The following is a 17037-nucleotide window of genomic DNA, read 5'->3' as shown; positions in this document are numbered from 1 at the left end:
GAGTGCCTGAATGTATCACTTGACTACTCTGCAAAAATGGGGATTTCCCAGACAAGTATAATACCTCCCCTATGATCTCACAGGTTTATGATAAAGAACAAATGACAGAAATGTATACCAAGGCACTTTGTATTCCAAAAATCAAAGGTTTTAGAAAAGAAAACTGATGGCTCTACAAGGAACAGTCTTTGTGTTCAGGGACTGTCCTCTTAGGTTTGTAATATGGGAAAAGAAACTGGTCATGAGCTATTGGGGGGTTTTGATGCGGTTAAACTGAAACATAGGTAATAAGCAGAATCCTTATAAAATATAAGGTCAACACACTCTTTAACAGAAGTACGCTTTTGAAAACTGTTTCTATGACACAGCAAAACAAAACCAGTGATCTTTAAAAGACTATTTGCCAAGAAAAGCATCCAGATTATTATTACCTTTTGCTATAGGTCTGCTTATTACATTCTAAGCTGTTAAATGGCCTCACACTTTAGTTAGACGGACACTGGAGGAAAAGAAAGTAGAATCAAATACTGTCTTAAGCACACTTTTAAGCAAATCTGTGAGACATTTGGAGGAACCCTAATTGCCTGGTAAACGGTGATAAGATCTGATTACTATGATTTACCTAATGGCCATTATTTGATCTGTTAATGACTGAGGTTTTTAGCAAATTGTGGACCGAGGTTTTGGCAAATTGTGACAGGGATACAGGGATAGCTGTTCTATAAAAACACCTTTCCAAGAGAATTAGTATTGATATAAGTATCAAACATTCTTTCCAGCATTTCCAGGCATATTTGAGGTTGGAATCACTTTTCAGTTCCTCCCCATGTACCAGGGAAAATGATTGAAGTAAAAGCTATGTCTACTACCTCACTGGCCCCCCGCCGGTCACATGACTGCCCCATTGAAGCTGCTGCTTCTTTCACACCCCAAATTACCATGCCTTGTACCTTCCCAAGAATCTGCTCAGAAATTCAGCAGCTCTTCCTTTTACTTCCTCAAAAACCACAGTCTCAATTCTACCTCCAGTCTCTGAACAATGGGACTATTTGTCCATCTTTCTAATGCCGCAGGTGGTTCCAAAGTCCACACCCACCCTCAGTGGTTCCAAGGAATTTTTCTGGCTCCAACACTTTCTAAAGAAAAGAAAATAGAGGTAAATGTAACCTCAGCCAGGGCACCCTTTCTGGTGAAGTGCTCTGCGGCCCACAGCAGAGTTAGTAGACCCTCACCTGATCAAGCCAGGCTCTTTCAGCGCCTCATCACACCACAGTAAGTGAAGCTTCACATGGTTGATCACTGAACGCTATCCCCAGTTTGCAAAAGCAGAAACAGAGGCTACTAGAGGTTGGATAGCTAGCCCACAGGCAAACAGTGGGTTAGCAGGGAGCCAGCATTCATATCCAGACCTGACAGCACCCATGCTCTGAATTCCTACACTCGGATATTGTATTCTAAACAACGTTTCTTTTAAAAACAGTTTTAGAAATTAGCCACCTGACGCTGACTACCCAGTTTTTAACTCTCTTTTCCCCAACTTCCTCTCCAACCCAGAGATCTATACCAGAGATGGGAACTCTTATGGGAGACCTTGTGAATTTCCATTCTTAATTGATGGGACCTGGCATCATGATTGCATTCTTGATGAAGATCATAGTGGGCCATGGTGTGCCACCACCTTAAATTATGAATATGACCGAAAGTGGGGCATCTGCTTAAAGCCTGGTATGTATGGGCTGGTAAATTTTATGTGGAAAGGTAGTACATTTATATGAGGCAATAGGGAGAAGGAAGAGTTCAAAGTGACTCAAAAGTGACTGCAAAAATATTATCCCGGATAAGAAGTGTATGTTTGGAGGAGAAGAGAGAGGTAATGTGTAGCCATGAATTTGCCTTCAGAAGCAGGCCCGGAAGTGAACCAAGGCGGATGGTGTCATGGAGGAGGAGGAGGGAGTGTTCCATAGCACCCCAGGGAGAGGAAGTGTGGAAAAGGCATGCACAATTAGGAAATTGCTGCTGACCTTTAGTAGTTTCAGAAGACTAGAGGGGGTAGAAGCTGGATTGTAGTGGAATGAAGCATGAACAGAAGGAAGTAAGCCTCGTAAGTTTCACGGAGCAGAAGAAGAGACAGTTGGCAAAGGACAAAATTGCAACAAATTTATGTAGTTACAATCTTATTTGGCTTTATTGCAATTCTAGAATCAGGCAACACCTCATTTCATAAAATAGACTACTGTAAGTGTTCCAGTTCGTTGAACAGAGGGGATTGGCTTTGTAGACAGAAAAAGGGCTGAAGAAAGCAAAAACAGAAACCGAAGAGTGGATTGGTCATTTCAACGTAACTTTCCTTGTAAGAGCAATAGAGAAATAATTGATTGGTCAACATCAGGTGACTTCAGGTTAAGCATTGAAACAGAGGGAACTTCATTATCAGTCCAATTAAAGATTGAAACTGGCCTGTTGGGGAAATTAGGCAGTTGTCTCTCTCTCCTGATTTCTCAAAAGACCAGATGACAATCTGTTTCAGTTTGGTGATGTGGAACTTTGGCATGGGTGACTCCATTTTGATTTTTGAGTCCTAGATCAGGAGCTTAGTCCAAAACAGTGGCTTTTTTTTATTTAAAAAAGCAAAGGGTAGTTTAAGAAAGAGATCAGTTGAAAAACACTTTTAGAATGGTGAAATCTTAAGTATGTTTATGGCCTGAAGCAAAGAGCGGGAAAGAGAAGAGATAGATCTTCCTGGCTCAAAATTGGTGACACTGTTCCTTCCACCATTCCTGTGTGTTTGTCAGAGTGCTTTTTCTCGTTACTTTTTACCAGAAGCAAACTGTTCAGGATTTGCTAAAGAATTTGCTGTTCTTTAGAAAGACAGAGAGAGACCAAAGTAGCAATCACATCATTATCTGGCACATAACTGAGACACAGTTTCTCACCAATTAGGTGAGAGTTACAGGGGATCACGGTACCTGACATGTGATAGGTACTCACAAAATATTACTTAATGGACAATAGGTTGAAAGAATCTATAGCAAAGAGAAAGGAAAGAGCTCCAGACCTAAGTAATAATAGTTAATACTTAACAGGGCTCTGCCAGGTGTCAGATACTGTTTCAGGCTCTCAATATACATTAACTCATTCAGTCCTCACAGCAACCCTGAAAGGTACCATACTTTATCCCCATTTTACAGATGATCACAGTGAGGCACAAGGGAGATATGTAACTTGCCTAAGATCACACAGCTAATAAATATCAGAACTAGAATTCAAACCCAGGAAGTCTGGCTATGAAGTCCTTGTCCCAAACAGCTACACTAGGCTGACTCATTGAGTAGCTAGCCAGGTGGTATTAGTAATGCTGATCCCTCCTTCGGGAATGTGAGCTTCAGAATGCAGAAGCTCTTGGAGAGCTTGGAGAGATTATACTGGGTTAAGACTTAAGATTTCAGGGTGCAACAGAATCACATGGAGAGTTTGTTAGAACACAGATATCTAGGGCCCAGAGATTCTGATTCAGTAGATTTTTGGTGGGCCCCCCAAATTTGGCAAGTTTCCAGGTAGTGCTGATAATGCTGGTCTGGGAACCACACTTGGAGGATTACATATCTAATTAGAGGCCCAGGCTTCTCAACACCTGTAACCTACCTACTAAAATAGAAAAAGCCAGTATTTTCTTCAGCTATAATTGATAATAAGCAGAGTTTGGTCAGCCAGGTATCAACTTCATTTAACTCTCCTTATCATTTGGATCAGAAATTTAGATGTGAAAGTTTGCTTAGAGGTAATCCAATGTAAACCCCTGTTTCTCAGGTGAGAGGCAGAAGGCCCAGATCAGTGAAATGACCTGTCAGGGTCAGACCACATTTTTGTGGACACTAGTGAAGGATTCTTTATCCTCCTTCCCCACTGTACATATTTACCCCCACTGTACCTTGCTGCCTTGACAGGAATGTATCTTGGTGCCTTTAGCCTCCTGTGGGTGTTGTGTGTGTGCTGGGGCTTTGGGGGTGTGACACATACAGTGGTGTTAATGCATGCATATGCTTCCTAGAGTTACTTTTTATGGAAGAAGCAAGAGAAAGTTTCTCAAACCTGAGGGCTGCTAAATCATGGAGGTCATGTTGTATAGCAAACACACTGCCATCCCACTCCTGGAAGCTTCTGGATTTACAAGTGTAGGGCCTCAGTGGTAATAATGAACCTTTAGACAATGTGCTTTCAAATCCACCCTATTTTGTTTTTATCAAATGTCAGAATCTCTGTTGCTATTTATGCTATAGAAAAATGGCTGAAGCAGCAGGATGTGCCATCAGAGGATCAACAAGACCAGTGCCCTCATTATAGCTCTGTCACAGTCACCTCTAGGTCTTTGTTCCTGTCTGTTAAATAAGGACATTAGACAAGATGATCTCTAAAGGCCCTTCCAGCTTATAGGATCATGAGTATAACATCTGATATGTAACTGGCTATAGGAGGCCTTTTGGAAAGTCCCCCAGTTGGAGCCTGGGATGCACTTGACACAGCCTGCATTGGACTTCCCCTCTTGTGGGGAGTACACAGGAGGCTCTGAATATATTTTGAACCAGTTGTTTTGAAATTTTTATTTCTCATTCAGGAAACAGCTTGCAGTTTCTTTGTCTGAAATTATGCATACTCTACAAACACATATGTATATATGTTTCTATGCACATATATACACACAAATACATATATAATGCATATGTAATGTGAATTACATATCATATATTCTTTATTAAAGTATTAAGGAGAAATTTGGACATAGTTTCCCAAATAAGGTAGTCACTTGGGCTCAATATCTTGGCCATTTAAGCAGCATGTCTGTGCACACACATAAACATACAGTGGTTTTTATGCAGGCTGTGGGCAAACCCTCTGTCATCTGCCACTATGTTCAAATGAGCTTGTTTTCCATTAGCTCAGTGTTCACAACATGTGCACACTGAGACCCATATCTCAGGCAGAGGGCAGTCAGGGACATGGGCGAAAACACAGCATTGTAATTGATAGGGATAAAAGGAGAATGGAAAATAAGAAAGAGTGGAAGCTTCAACCAGCCTGAGTCATTTGGTGTGTCATGATTCCAATTTTATTGTGATCAAAATATGGTCTAAATGAGTGATGGCAGTCTCCCTTTGGGCATATCCTAAGAGTATGCAAATTGACTTGCAGTATTTCTAAGCATTCTAAGTAATAGAAAACATTATGTCCTTACTTTATGATCACTAACGTGTCTTTATCAACAGAAAACGGTTGTGAAGATAATTGGGAAAAGAACGAGCAGTTTGGAAGTTGCTACCAATTTAATACTCAGACGGCTCTTTCTTGGAAAGAAGCTTATGTTTCATGTCAGAATCAAGGAGCTGATTTACTGAGCATCAACAGTGCTGCTGAATTAACTTACCTTAAAGGTAGATTTTATTTGCATGTGATAGAGCAAATTGGCTAAAATTGTAAAGGTACTTCTTCTTCTGTTTTCATATCCAGATGTGTTTCTTTGTATGTAACTTTTCTGACCTCTCTTGGGATTTAAACTTCTACACTGAAACCCATAAGCAAAAAAGTACTGAATGTAATCATATTTCACCATTGAGAAATGTATCTTGTGATGGAAACTAAAGAGAGATTGATGTTCAGAAAACAAGGTTGGGTAGCAAGATTAAACTGCTACCCTAATCCTAAATGAAAGGATTTTCAAAAAGCGAATAATTAAACTCTTTGAACATTGAAAAATAGAGAATTAAAGGAAGGGAAGGAAGATGGTTAAGTTACACTAGATGGCCTCAGTAAACATCCTTACATTGAGTGAAAGGGTACAGTCCTCAGGGGCAAGGAGTGTTTTACTAAATCTTAAAGTGGATTTAATAACATGGACACAGAATGGGTAGGACTTTGTTTTGTTTTGTTTGGGGGATGGTAGTGGTAATTTTTTAATTTTTAATTATGAAAACTTAATAGATAAGAATAAATAAAAACTTTAAAAGACCATTTATCCTATCATAAGAATTTAAGTATCACCTTGTTAATTTCAATAACAAACCCTATTGGAACTTTGATTGGAATTGTATTGAATCATAGATTCATTAAAGAGGAATTGGCCAGGTGCGGTGGCTCACACCTGCAATGCCAGCACTTTAAAAGGTAAAGGCAGGAGGATTACTTGAAGCCAGGGGTTTGAAACCAGCCTGGGCAAAGTGAGACCACGTCTCTACAAAAAAAAAAATTTTTTTTTAATTGGCTGTTGGCATGTGCCTGTAGTCCCAGCTGCTCTGGAGACTGAGGTAGAAGGATTGCTTGAGCCTGGGAGATTGAAGCTGCAGAGAGCTATGATGGCATCACTGCACTCCAGCCTGAGTGATAGAGGAAGACCTTGTCTTAAAAAATAAATAAATAAAAGGTATTGCAGTTTCAATATTGTCTTCTCAACCATGAAAATGATATGCTTTTCTATTTATTTAGGACTTCTTTTATGTACTCAGTAAAATTCTATAACTCTTTCCATAGTCTTGTATATCTTTCAAAAGAAACTATATAAACAAATTTTAATATTATATTTAAAAATCAAGGAACCTAAGTTACTGAGTCCCTGATGAGTTATTCTTTGAATGAAAGACAAATAATTGTAATATATGATAATGATGATGTGCCAGACAGACTACTAAATGCTTTTTATACATTATCTCCTTTCATCCCATCTAACTACCTTATGAGGTGGACGTTATTGTTATCCTCATTTTGCAGATGAGGAATGCGAGGCTCAGAGAGGAAACATAACTTGTCCAAAGTCACCCACAAGTATTTAGCAGAGCCTAAATTTGAAGAGTCAGTTTGACTTGAAAACAAATTGTATCACACATATAAATGGATTCACCTTTTATAAGACTGTAAGTTCTTTGCAGGCAGAAATGGGTCTCATGGGTTGTTTTTCACTTTTGCACAAAGCTGTAAGCTTTATTGCTATATATTAAGCAAACATGTATTGTCTAAGTAATTCAGATGCATTCTGTCACACTATTTTATAATAACTGGAAATATTTGATAAATGCTTACTGTAAGCAAGCCCTACTTTCTCCAGATAAATCCATTAATCATTACTACAACCTCATCAAACAAATGTTTTATCACTAGATAAGGAAATTGATCCTTAGAAATAATATACCCAACAGCATACAGCTAAGAAGTATCAGATTGGGATTTGAATATCAACATATAGAATTGCAGAACTCTATTTATGTGAAAGAGGGTCTCAATATGTTGCCCAGGCTAGTGTGCAGTGGATATTCACAGGTGTGATCAGAGCACACTATAGCCTCAACTCTTGGGCTCAAGCGATCTTCCCACCTCAGTCTTCCAAGTAGCTAGGACTACAGGAGCACAGGATCATGCCCAGCTTTTTTGTTATACTACGTACCCCTCTTAGATATCTTTATCTCTTTTTATCATTAAAAGGCCACAGGTCTTTTGTCGCTCTTTTTGTTTACAGCTTTATTCAGACCTCCTTTCTTACTTGTAGCTTTACCCTTTTCCTGTATTGTTTGGCACTTGAATATTCAGATCTTTAGAATGAAAATCTGCCAAATAAGCCAAATGAGCTAGTGTTTGGCATTGGAGTTCTATTCCAGACCTCACTGAAGCCTCAGAAAAAATATTGTTGCGAATGAAAAGTGCCGATAAATTCAAGTTTCCTAGAATATTGACATTTGGAAACCGATGACTTCAGTGAAGGAGAAAAGTGCCAAAGTGTGACAATCAAATGTTGCACGATTCTTTATGCATCAGTTTTCTTTAATAACTCATGAAAGTAATGTAATATGGTAAAGGACCTTATTGTACCCTACTCCTGGCCGGACATGCCCCGTATTTAATACATATCATTAATTTTAGAAGTATATCTGTTTCTAATGTTTCAAGTTCCTCTTCCAGTGTGAAAGCTTCTTAGGCATATCAATACGCCTAATTATGACTATTGGTTTCCCAAGACCCAAGAAAACTGTGTTTTAACCTCTAAAACTCTGCTTTCTATCTTTCTTTCTTTTTTCTTTTTTTTTTTTTTTTTTGTTGTTGTTGAGACAGAGTCCTGCTCTGCCACCTAGGATGGAGTGCAGTGGCACAATATCGGCTCACTGCAACCTCTGTCTCCTGGGTTCAAGCAATTCTTCTGCCTCAGCCTCCTGAGTAGCTGGGATTACAGGCACACGCCACCACACCTGGCTAATTTTTGTATTTTTAGTAGAGACAGGGTTTCACCGTGTTGGCCAGGCTGGTCTCAAACTCTTGACTTCAGGTGATCCACCCGCCTTCTATCTTTCTTAATTGCTGATAGCATCTGGTCATCAAATAACAAATTTGAATGATCTATCTCCACTGTACCACGTGTGTGTGTGTGTGTGTGTGTGTGTGTGTGTGTGTGTGACTCTCACTCTCATTCTGTATCTCTAGTCTAAACAGGACCCTTTGGGCCCTAGAGCCATAAGCCACATATATATATGTTATATTATATATAATATATATATATATTCCATTGTCTATGAAACAGCTCCTATACATATTTCTGACCCAGTCCCAGAAAAACTTGATCATATGGGGATCCATGTCTGTCTCCTTCTACTAGATTGAAATTCTCATGAGGGCAAGGACTTTGTCATTTCAGTTTTTACATCCCTAGAACCTGGCAAATAATATGTGTGCCTAATGAATTTAAATTGTCAGTCTAGAATACAGTCAGATCTTCTGAATCTAGAAGTACAATGGAAACTGCTTTTGATAAGTCTTCTATATTAATAAAAGAGGATTAAAAATAGATAGTGAGACAGCTACTCTAAGAAGCTTCTGTCCTTACCTTAGATGAAAGGGAATTTGACAAGCTAATAGGAGAGCAGAACTGAATTAACTTATCAGCCTTTGGGTTTCTCAATAGTCTGAAGATTTTTGTCTATTAGCATTGCCTACCTTTGATGCATAAACAGCCCTCTACAGGGATTGCTGCCTTACAATCAAGGTCTGCAGATTTGTTTGTTATTAGTAGAATAAGTCTAATTTAGATAATAACTTAGGCAACTTTGTCACTTTTTAAAAATTTTTTAATTCTTACAGAAAAAGAAGGCATTGCTAAGATTTTCTGGATTGGTTTAAATCAGCTATACTCTGCTAGAGGCTGGGAATGGTCAGACCACAAACCATTAAACTTTCTCAACTGGGATCCAGGTAACTGCTCTTTCCCTACCCCCTCTGCACAGAACAAATCTTCAAAAAAGCAAAAGCTTCTCACTCACCAATAGCTTAGAAAAGTTTCACATCTTGGCAGCTCTTACTATGGTTACCTCTCAGAAGAATTTTTTCTTCCTAAACCATTCTTAATTGTGGTACTGTTATTGCCAAGCTGAACCACACCATGGACAACTGAGCATTTGAACCTCTAGACCTTTAGAACAACCCTACATTTTTATGTAAGAGCAAAATGAGCTCCACCACATGGCCCAGGAGCCATTCTATGTCCCTAAAGGACTTGGCATGTCTATAACTCACCCATGCTGTGTTTCATCTGCAGCTGAACTCTAATATGGAATTATCCGCTCGTTTTCAAACTCTTGGGGTCTCTCCCCACTATAGCACCCAAGTACTGACAATATAATGGTTGTATTTTATAATACAAATAAATACCTCAAAGAAAGTCTTTTAGGGAATAAAACAAGCAAAATGCCACTTAGCCAAAAAGCATTCTTCCCAAAGGAAGGATTAGACAACTTTGAAAAATAAAATCTTAGGCTTATGACAAATGTAGAACCTAAAGTTAACACTAATTTCAGTATAAAGCTGCCTGCACACATAGTAGGAAAACTGAGTTAAGAGCAATAAAATTCAAATTAGCCACTTTAGTTAATTTAGTTTGCTAAATTTCCTTACCAGCAAATGAAGTAATACTTTTATTATTTCAGTAAATAGAATATTTAAAGATAATTTAATCTTTAACTCAAGGCCTTAATGGCATGACAATGATAAATTAATATTTTTATTTTATGGAGTAGCAGATTAAGAGCTACTAAGCATAGAATATGGCCTGGAAGTCATTTGAGGAAAAAGTTTGGTTTTTGTTTTTAAAATTAACTACAACATATCATGATGTTTTCCCTTTAGATTCTATATTTTAGAAGAAAGACATATTTAAGCACATAATTATTCATTGAGGCTTATACGTTTCAATTTAGTTAAGTTTTAACTATAATATGAGTTCCCATAAAAGCATAAAATTAGGAATACAAATTATTCTTTCTGACACCATCCTGGCCCTAACTTTCTCATTCTAATGCTTTGAAAAATGTTCCCTTTTAAGACAGGCCCAGTGCACCTACTATAGGTGGCTCCAGCTGTGCAAGAATGGATGCTGAGTCTGGTCTGTGGCAGAGCTTTTCCTGTGAAGCTCAACTGCCCTATGTCTGCAGGAAACCATTAAATAATACAGTGGAGTTAACAGGTATCTTTCTCACATACTCATACAAATAGACAAATAGGTCTTAAAATCATAGTTTTGTGAAAACAAGTAAATCTTTTCCAACATCCGTTTCCACCTTTCCTTCTCCTGATACTGACAGTACAGAAAAGTACTTGATTTTTAACCCTGTGGTTAGATATTATCAACCATATATGAATAAAGCTTTATTTGAGGTAATGAAGAATATTAAATATAAATATGTATGCGCCCAGAAGAAGGCAGAGATATTCGAGATAGGAAATATACTTCTGTTCGTGTGTGGCTCTTTTTTCTCCAGAGCAGTGGTTCTCCAGGGGTGGTCCCCAGACCAACAGCATCAGCATCACCTCTTCCTGTTAGAAATGCAAGCTCTCAGGACCCACCCCAGATTTGCTACATCAGAAACTACAGGATGGGGTCCAGCAATCTGTATTTTAAGAAACTTTCCAGGTGGTTCTGATGCGTATTCAAGTCTGAGAACCACTGCAGTTCATGCCTCCGTAATGAGGCAAAACCTATAGACACAGGAGTAAGCCCAGGCTTCTCTACCTTGTGCCCCACAGCACCCAGCCCTCTTCTATCCTTCTCTGTCAGGCAAGTCTTTGCATTGAAAAATCAAGTAAAAAAGGAGAGGTGCAGAGGGACAAAATGTGTACAATAAGGGGGTTTTTCCAGGGTGTTTGGGGATGAAAGTGACACAAGAACAGCTGAAGTTTTTGAGGAGTGGAAGGGTGTGAGGAGTTTTTGAAAGAATGGAGAAGAGGAGTGTATTGACTGTCAAGCACAGGGCCTGATGTATACCTGGTATTTAATTACATCCTCACCAAATGAGAGAAACTAATACTCAAAGCTGGAGGGATGTATTCATCCGTTTTCATGCTACTGATAAAGACATACCCAAGACTGGGAAGAAAAAGAGGTTTAATGGACCTTACAATCTCACGTGGCTGGGGAGGTCTCACAATCATGGCCGAAGGCAAGGAGGAGCAAGTCACATCTTACATGAATGGTGGCAGGCAAAGAAAGAGAGCTTGTGAAGGAAAACTCCGCCTTATAAAACCGCCAGATCTCATGAGACTTATTCGCTATCACGAGAACAGCAGGGAGAGACCTGCCCCCATGATTCAATTACCTTTCACCAGGTCCCTCCCATAACACATGGGAATTTAAGGTGAGATTTGGGTGAGGACACAGCCAAACCATATCAAGGGGAAAGGATGATTTTTAAATGTCCTGCTTTAAGGAACTGTGAGTGAAGGGAATAAAGCATTCAAATGTCTTGTCATCTAAAAAGGAGTATAGAGCAATTTTTAAGGAAAAACTAGATATAAAATAAAGAATCTGAGGGGATATTTTAAGATAATAGGGGAAATGAACATTTGTCTTCCAAGTTGATTCAAACCAAATTTAGTCCATACAACAAAAGGCATAATAGAAAAGCCAGCACAAATGAAAATAAACTAGAGCAATTGATGATAGATTAAGTAAATACCTTGCAGTAGCAATTATTAAATAAATCATGATGTTTCCACATGATTGAATAATATGCATTTACTAAAATAACTGTGCCAGCAGGAAAATACAAAGAACAAAACCAAATGATATGCCTACTTATCATTTTAATCTTGTAAAAATATGTATTCATTGAGACAAAGACTAGAATATGAAAATGATTGCATTAAGTTCCATTATGGGTGATATTTTTCCTCTGTTCCTTTATCATAATTATAAAATATAACAATAATACATGCTATTTCAGAATATTAAAGTTAATTGAGTTATCTCGCAAGTGTAAGAGGCTAGCTGAATCTGAATCACTTTATCCTTTAGTAAAAAAAACAAACTGTCCACATTTTTTTTTCTTTTTTTTTTTAATTATACTTTAAGTTTTAGGGTACATGTGCACATTGTGCAGGTTAGTTACATATGTATACGTGTGCCATGCTGGTGCGCTGCACCCACTAACTCGTCATCTAGCATTAGGTATATCTCCCAATGCTATCCCTCCCCCCTCCCCCTCCCCCCACCCCACAACAGTCCCCAGAGATGCTGTGTTTTCTTACAACAAATATTCCAAATGGTTCTAAATCAGTGAAGTCTGAGTAACCAACTCACTTTCTGGTTTTGTTAACGGGGATAGAAGTATTCTGTGGGGTTTCATACTTCATTCTTTTTTTCTAATCTGGAAAGATTAGACCTTCGATTGTGAGCTTTCTCATGGTCAAAACAGAATCACTAATTCCATGAGGACCATCTGTCTAGCAGAGGGGAGGAAAGAAGTCCAGGGGTAACCTTTGCCCTCTCATCTCTTGGATGCGAAGTGTATAAATGTCTTATTCTGTCCCTTAAATCTCTGCCTGTCCTTTGTTCAACGGTGAGCGTTAATCTACATCCCCTTGCTAAGCTGGCCATACAAGAAAAGGAGGCTTGCCCTCTTATAATCTTCTCAAGGACAGAGACTGGAGGGAAACCTAACAAATTCCATATCCAGGAAAAAATTTGTCAGAAAATGACTTAAGGCACATCTTTCTACTGTCTACTTGGACTAAGGGCAATCTCCCTTGACTGTGTCCAAGCCCTTAATAGTCTGTGCTCAGCCATATAGCACATTGAAGCATGTTAAAGTCACATCATTTTCTGAATCCCAGCGGGAATTCCTATGATGCTATATATACCTCATTTATGTGGTAGGCACCACATGAATTCATGTCACCGTAGCATCTGACATCACGTCCCCAGTTTTCCAGGACTCTCATTATTCAAGAAAAAAGAATTTGCAATGTTATTGATTCACAATAGATGTATCTTTACTGGAATATAAATAGCTGCTTTTCCCCCAGATGTCTGGACATACTCAGATACCCGCTGTGATGCAGGCTGGCTGCCAAATAATGGATTTTGCTATCTGCTGGTAAATGAAAGTAATTCCTGGGATAAGGCACATGCGAAATGCAAAGCCTTCAGTAGTGACCTAATCAGCATTCATTCTCTAGCAGATGTGGAGGTGGTTGTCACAAAACTCCATAATGAGGGTAAGTTTTTAAAAATACCCTATTTGAGAGGCTTAAGCCATTTTAAAGTATCCCTGGTTTTAGACTCTTTGTGGGAATGAAAAGCTTACAGTTTGATCCCACAGATCAGCCCTGTCAGATAGGATTGTCTCTGGTGATGGAACTGTTCTACAATTGGTCTAGTATGGTGGTCACTAGCAACATGCAGCTTCTGAGCAGTTGGCATGTAGCCAGGGCAACTGAGGAACTGAATTATTACTTTTATTTCATCTTAATTAATTTAAGTGGCCGCATGTGCCTAGTGGCAACCAATTTGACAGTACTGCCATTGATTGATTTCCCTCTTCTCATGAGCTAAATTCTATTTAAGTTGCTCAAAAAACTTAAGTGATAATTACTTCACTTTTGTAATTATTTGAAAGCTAAAGACTGGTAAAGGAAAATATACTAGACGGACAGTATTATGATCTCTTCCTAGAATAGAACTCTTAGCTAGAATAGCTAAGAGTAGGTACCTACTCAGTGCCAGCCTGGTGCTCCTTGTTTCACTTGTGAAGGCAGCAGAGTCATACCAGGGCAGCAGTGGACAGTATTTCTATTCAAATTGGGATATGTATGATTGTATTTATAGAATTTCATTCACCCCACAAAGCAAAGTTTATCTACACCAGATATCAGGAACACCCAGCCTGCAGATGTTCTACCTGTGTACTTTACTTGCATAAGTTACTTGAAAAGCCTTCATTACCCAACCTGCCTGTCGTATCAACATATTAATAACCGAATTAAGAATACTACAAAGGCTCTTAAAACTCCATATCAGAATATAAAAATTTGTATAACAATGTACATATTACAGTATTTAATTGAGCAAAACCAAACAAATAATACATTTTTCTTTTAGATATCAAAGAAGAAGTGTGGATAGGCCTTAAGAACATAAACATACCAACTTTATTTCAGTGGTCAGATGGTACTGAAGTTACTCTAACATATTGGGATGAGAATGAGCCAAATGTTCCCTACAATAAGACGCCCAACTGTGTTTCCTACTTAGGAGAGGTACGAAACCTCCTGTGGTTTCTTTATATTCTTCCTGTTTTACCTAATGATAATATTAAGACTTCTTTGGTTGGGAAGTTTGCGTATAAGCTGGAAAATAAAAGGTAAGAGCACTCTGGATCAGGGTACAGAGCCACGGACCATTACCTGTTAAGAATTGGGCCGCACAGCAGGAGGTGAGCGGCGGGTAAGCAAGCATTACTGCCTGAACTCCGCCTCCTGTCAGATTGGCAGCAGCATTAGATTCTCCTAGGAGGGTGAACCCTATTATGAACTGCACATGCAAGGGATCTAGGTTGCACTTCCTTGTGGAACAGTTTCATCCCAAAACTATCCTCTTCCCCACCCTCTGTGGAAAAAATTGTCTTCCACAAAACTGGTCCCTGGTGTCAAAGGTTGGCAACAAATAATCTAAAGTCTAGACTGTCTTTCTGGTAGCTACTTTAAAAAGGTAAATAAAAGCAATTACTAAATAAGCAACCCATATCCTATCTGAGAGCATCTTTTCTGGTCTCAAACAGATACAGAGAATCCCTTTAGAACTCACATTCTTGTGCTGACTGATTCTAGCAACCTGCTTTCTCTCAGGACCAGGGCCTGCACCCACCTTTCTGCCATCAGTGTGATATTCGGCAGATAGCCACAATTTAACCTGAAAAATCCCATCTTCCAAATTCATGTTCAGATTGTTTTATATCGATACTACTTTGAGAAGTAAAAAAATGGTTTTATTTAAAAACTAGGCCTAACATTTTTCAGAAACCACCTTACTCCTATAGAATGCTTAAACATTTTTTGAACATCTTTTACTTAATAATCCAAAATAGGCTGTGTCTTGAGCAGAAAAGATATATGTACCTCTACGTTTTGTTTGTATCACTTTCCTGTGGACCCCTAATTGGTTATGAAAGTGACTGTGTCACTCAGACATCTAAAGAGACTTAAGTGGAAGCAATAAATATTATGTGTATTTAAAAGAAGTTTAGAAAGGTGTCACATTTGATGCTCTATTTAAAAGGACATCCAACATGTCTTTAGAAGAACATCAGAAATGGAAAAGTGTTCCCATGGGCAAGAGTGAATTGATGGCATACCTAGACAGCATTCCAATGTTCAAAACTGACCCTTATCACAATCGACTTATTAGAATTTAATTCAAACAAAGCAAAGTGACGTAGTCAATTAAGCAAATTAATGTTAAGTAGCATATATGAAAGAGAGAATTTTGAAGTCCAGATTGAAGTAGAGTTGAAAGAAACTTTTGACCTAGAATTCATGGAGAATAGCTATTTTAGCCACCATCATCATTTTACACGTGAGGAAACCGAGAAAGGGAGGTTGATGATGTACCTAAAAGTTTCAAACTTTGGCTATGCCATTCTAGTCTAGAAGACTAGAATGCTGGAACTGTGGGCTGAGTTCTTCTCTCTTCAACTTTTATACTAAGTGTGCTTTGATGGTTTTATTGCTACTCTTATAAGAAAATGAAATTTATCCACACTGTGACCTGGAGGTGATGCTGAGGTAACTGGCTGTGAGCCATCACTTTGCAGGCCTGTTGAGTAGCATTTTCTAGGAGTGTGTTCTCACATTTGATAATTCACTTATATTCATTTCTCTCTCTCTGTCTCTGTCATAGTTTTTGTGAGTTCAGTTCTGAATATGCGGTAAATAATTTCCTTTCCAAGCAAATGTTTTTGTCTCCTTTCAAAGCTAGGTCAGTGGAAAGTCCAATCATGTGAGGAGAAACTAAAATATGTATGCAAGAGAAAGGGAGAAAAACTGAATGACGCAAGTTCTGATAAGATGTGTCCTCCAGATGAGGTAGGTAAAATCCCTATGTAAATTTTCTCAAGCAGTATTACAACTTCTTGGTTAGAAATGGTAGCTGAGACTTAAATAACTCAGACTTATAAAATAGAGGAAACTACTAGCTTCTGTTCATTTAAGTTAGAACAAGCCAGAAGGCAGTGAGTCATAGCATATTGGCCTTCTTACAGAAGCAGAAACTTGAAAATTTCTATAAATATTTGTAGAATTACTATCCTCAAGGCTGATGTCTTTACTTCCCCCACTAATATCAATATTCAAAAATAATTCATCCAGTGAATATTATACTCTTATGATGAGCCAGCCACCCATATGAGAAGTAACCCATACTTTTTGTCTGACACAGGCCCACAGTCTTGTGGAGGTTATCTGTGAAATTGCATCCCACCCTCATCACATGTATGATTTCAATAGCCATGTCCTCAATTTCCACAAGTTCTAAGACGTTATCAATGTAGCAGAAACATGCTTGCCAGACGGGACACCATCAAGTCTGGAAAAGAGTTTGACAATATTTTTCCTCTGACTTAGGGCTGGAAGAGACATGGAGAAACCTGTTACAAGATTTATGAGGATGAGGTCCCTTTTGGAACAAACTGCAATCTGACTATCACTAGCAGGTGTGACCATCAGTAAACTTGTACTCATAAA

The 17037-nt window shown here is 38.5% G+C and overlaps 2 protein-coding genes across 3 annotated transcripts in view, besides 3 other annotated features; both read left to right on the top strand.

Moving 5' to 3' along the window:
- LY75-CD302 (LY75-CD302 readthrough) overlaps window positions 1-17037 on the top strand; it is a 136129-nt gene that overhangs the window by 9118 nt on the left and 109974 nt on the right. For both annotated transcript variants that reach the window (NM_001198760.1, NM_001198759.1), the window contains exons 3-10: window positions 1555-1725; window positions 5262-5426; window positions 9109-9219; window positions 10346-10486; window positions 13324-13515; window positions 14399-14556; window positions 16270-16380; window positions 16918-17006. In NM_001198760.1, the coding sequence (NP_001185689.1) occupies window positions 1555-1725; window positions 5262-5426; window positions 9109-9219; window positions 10346-10486; window positions 13324-13515; window positions 14399-14556; window positions 16270-16380; window positions 16918-17006 (1138 nt within the window). The remainder of the gene's footprint in view (window positions 1-1554; window positions 1726-5261; window positions 5427-9108; window positions 9220-10345; window positions 10487-13323; window positions 13516-14398; window positions 14557-16269; window positions 16381-16917; window positions 17007-17037) is intronic.
- LY75 (lymphocyte antigen 75) overlaps window positions 1-17037 on the top strand; it is a 101402-nt gene that overhangs the window by 9118 nt on the left and 75247 nt on the right. Inside the window, exons 3-10 of the mRNA NM_002349.4 lie at window positions 1555-1725; window positions 5262-5426; window positions 9109-9219; window positions 10346-10486; window positions 13324-13515; window positions 14399-14556; window positions 16270-16380; window positions 16918-17006. Of these exons, the coding sequence (NP_002340.2) occupies window positions 1555-1725; window positions 5262-5426; window positions 9109-9219; window positions 10346-10486; window positions 13324-13515; window positions 14399-14556; window positions 16270-16380; window positions 16918-17006 (1138 nt within the window). The remainder of the gene's footprint in view (window positions 1-1554; window positions 1726-5261; window positions 5427-9108; window positions 9220-10345; window positions 10487-13323; window positions 13516-14398; window positions 14557-16269; window positions 16381-16917; window positions 17007-17037) is intronic.
- Window positions 1307-1386: a silencer, noted in NCBI's record as "silent region_12045". NCBI's record gives its function as "represses an Ori minimal core promoter by ATAC-STARR-seq in GM12878 lymphoblastoid cells {active_cell/tissue: GM12878}" and the evidence as "EXISTENCE:reporter gene assay evidence [ECO:0000049][PMID:35858748]".
- Window positions 4242-4511: an enhancer, noted in NCBI's record as "active region_16689". NCBI's record gives its function as "activates an Ori minimal core promoter by ATAC-STARR-seq in GM12878 lymphoblastoid cells {active_cell/tissue: GM12878}" and the evidence as "EXISTENCE:reporter gene assay evidence [ECO:0000049][PMID:35858748]".
- Window positions 4542-4591: an enhancer, noted in NCBI's record as "active region_16688". NCBI's record gives its function as "activates an Ori minimal core promoter by ATAC-STARR-seq in GM12878 lymphoblastoid cells {active_cell/tissue: GM12878}" and the evidence as "EXISTENCE:reporter gene assay evidence [ECO:0000049][PMID:35858748]".

Source organism: Homo sapiens, chromosome 2, assembly GCF_000001405.40.
Source record: "Homo sapiens chromosome 2, GRCh38.p14 Primary Assembly".
Classification (NCBI taxonomy): Eukaryota; Metazoa; Chordata; class Mammalia; order Primates; family Hominidae; genus Homo; species Homo sapiens.
This window is presented reverse-complemented; position numbering and strand designations above follow the sequence as displayed.